This window comes from Homo sapiens, chromosome 13 (genome assembly GCF_000001405.40).
Source record: "Homo sapiens chromosome 13, GRCh38.p14 Primary Assembly".
Classification (NCBI taxonomy): Eukaryota; Metazoa; Chordata; class Mammalia; order Primates; family Hominidae; genus Homo; species Homo sapiens.
The window spans coordinates 44,628,148-44,630,018 of record NC_000013.11 but is presented as its reverse complement, the minus strand read 5'-3'; the positions used below and the strand labels follow the sequence as shown (position 1 = coordinate 44,630,018).

The 1,871-nt window shown below is 44.7% G+C and overlaps 1 non-coding gene across 1 annotated transcript; it reads left to right on the top strand.

Annotated features, from left to right (window-relative positions):
• Nucleotides 1–1,345: 1,345 nt before the first annotated feature.
• LOC124903261 (small nucleolar RNA U13) lies at nucleotides 1,346–1,450 on the top strand. The gene has a single exon (XR_007063960.1). It is a non-coding gene; the product is annotated as a small nucleolar RNA U13 (small nucleolar RNA).
• Nucleotides 1,451–1,871: the final 421 nt, after the last annotated feature.

The window sequence follows — 1,871 nt, the reverse complement described above, 5'->3', positions numbered from 1 at the left end:
TCAGCCCTTACTATTCATATTTCTGCCAACATTCTGATCATGACAACTTAGTAATCTCTAAGAAATTCCAGACTTTTCCTACATCCCTTGTCTTCTTCTGAGATTTCACCAGAATTGCTTTTAATGCTCCATTCAAGACAAAGGCTTTTTCTAGGCTTTTCCTCTAAATTTTTCCAGGCTCTATCCATTACCAGTTCAAACTGCTTCCACATTTTCAGGTATTTGTTAAAGCAACAGCCCCATTTCTCCATAACAATTTTCTATCTTACCCATTTTGTGTTACTGTAACAGAATACCACAGACTGGGTAATTTATAAACAATAGAAATATATTTGGCTCATGGTTCTGGAGGTTGGAACATCCAAGAACATGGGGCTGGCATCTTGTACTGGCCTTCTTGCTGTGTCATCTCATGGAGGAAGGTAGAAGGGTAAGAGAGCACAAGAGAGCAAGAAAGGGCAAGAGGGGAGTAAACTTTAACCAGGAACCCATTCCGATGATAACAACATTAAACTGTTCCTAGGGGTGGAGCCCCACATGACCTAATCACCTTTTAAGAGTTCCACCTATTAACGCTGTCACAGTGGCAATTAAATTTCAACATGAGGCCCAGCAAAGTGGCTCACACCTTAATACCAGCACTTTAGGAGGTTGAGGTGGGCAGATGACAAGGTCAGGAGTTCAAGACCAGCCTGGCCAACATGGTGGAACCCCGTCTCTACTAAAAATACAAAAATTAGCAGGGCGTGGGGGCATGTGCCTGTAATCAGAGCTACTGGGGAGGCTGAGGCAGAAGAATCACTTGAATGCAGGAGGCAGAGGTTGCAGTGAGCCAAAATCATGACACTGCACTCCAACCTGGGTGACAGAGGAAGACTCTGTCTCAATAAATAAATAAATAAATTAAATAAATAAATTTCTCCATGAGTTTTGGAGGGGACATTCAAATCATAGCAACCAGATACCAGAGTGTGACTCCAACTGGGCTTTGTTACAACCAAGTCCAGATGCTAAATTACTTAAAGATGTAAGTGTGGGCTGGGTGCAGTGGCTCATGCCTGTAATCACAACACTTTGGGAGGCTAAGGCAGGCAGATCTCTTGAGCCCAGGAGTTCAAGACTAGCCTGGGCAACATGGTGAAACCCTGTTTCTATAAAAAATACAAAAATTAGCCAGGCATGGTGCTCAAGCCTGTAGTCCAAGTTACTCAGAAAGCTGAGGTGGGAGAATCACCTGAGCCTGGGGAGGTTGCAGCTGCAGTGAGCTGCAATCATACCACTGCATTCCAGCCTGGGCAACTGAGTGAGATCCTGTCTCAAAAAAAAAAAAAAGAAAAAAAAAAGGATCCTTTTGTAGTTCATGAGGATGATGGTTGGGTGTTTCACACATGTGTGTGAAATGTACCACCCTCAAACCTTGTTACAATGTCAGCACATTACCTGCCTGACCTGAAAAAAAAAAAAAAAAGTTACGAGTGTGACCTAAGACCCTCTGGAGTTCTGGTTCTTGAAAGTGACTCCACATGAATCCTTGGCTAGTTGCTCCATTCACTCCAATTGCCTAACTATATGCCTTGGAACCAGCTCTTGCTTGCATTATGGCTCAGCTTGTACTCATGGCAGAAGGTGAAGTGGGAGCAGGCATGCCACATGGCCAGCGCAGGAGCAAGAGAGACAAGTGCCACATACTTTTTTTTTTTTTTTTTTTTTTTTTTGAGACGGAGTCTTGCTCTGTCACCCAGGCTGGAGCGCAGTGGTGAGATCTCGGCTCACTGCAAGCTCCGCCTCCTGGGTTGACGCCATTCTCCTGCCTCCCTAGTAGCTGGGACTACAGGCGCCCGCCACCCAAGCCCGGCTAATTTTTTTGTATT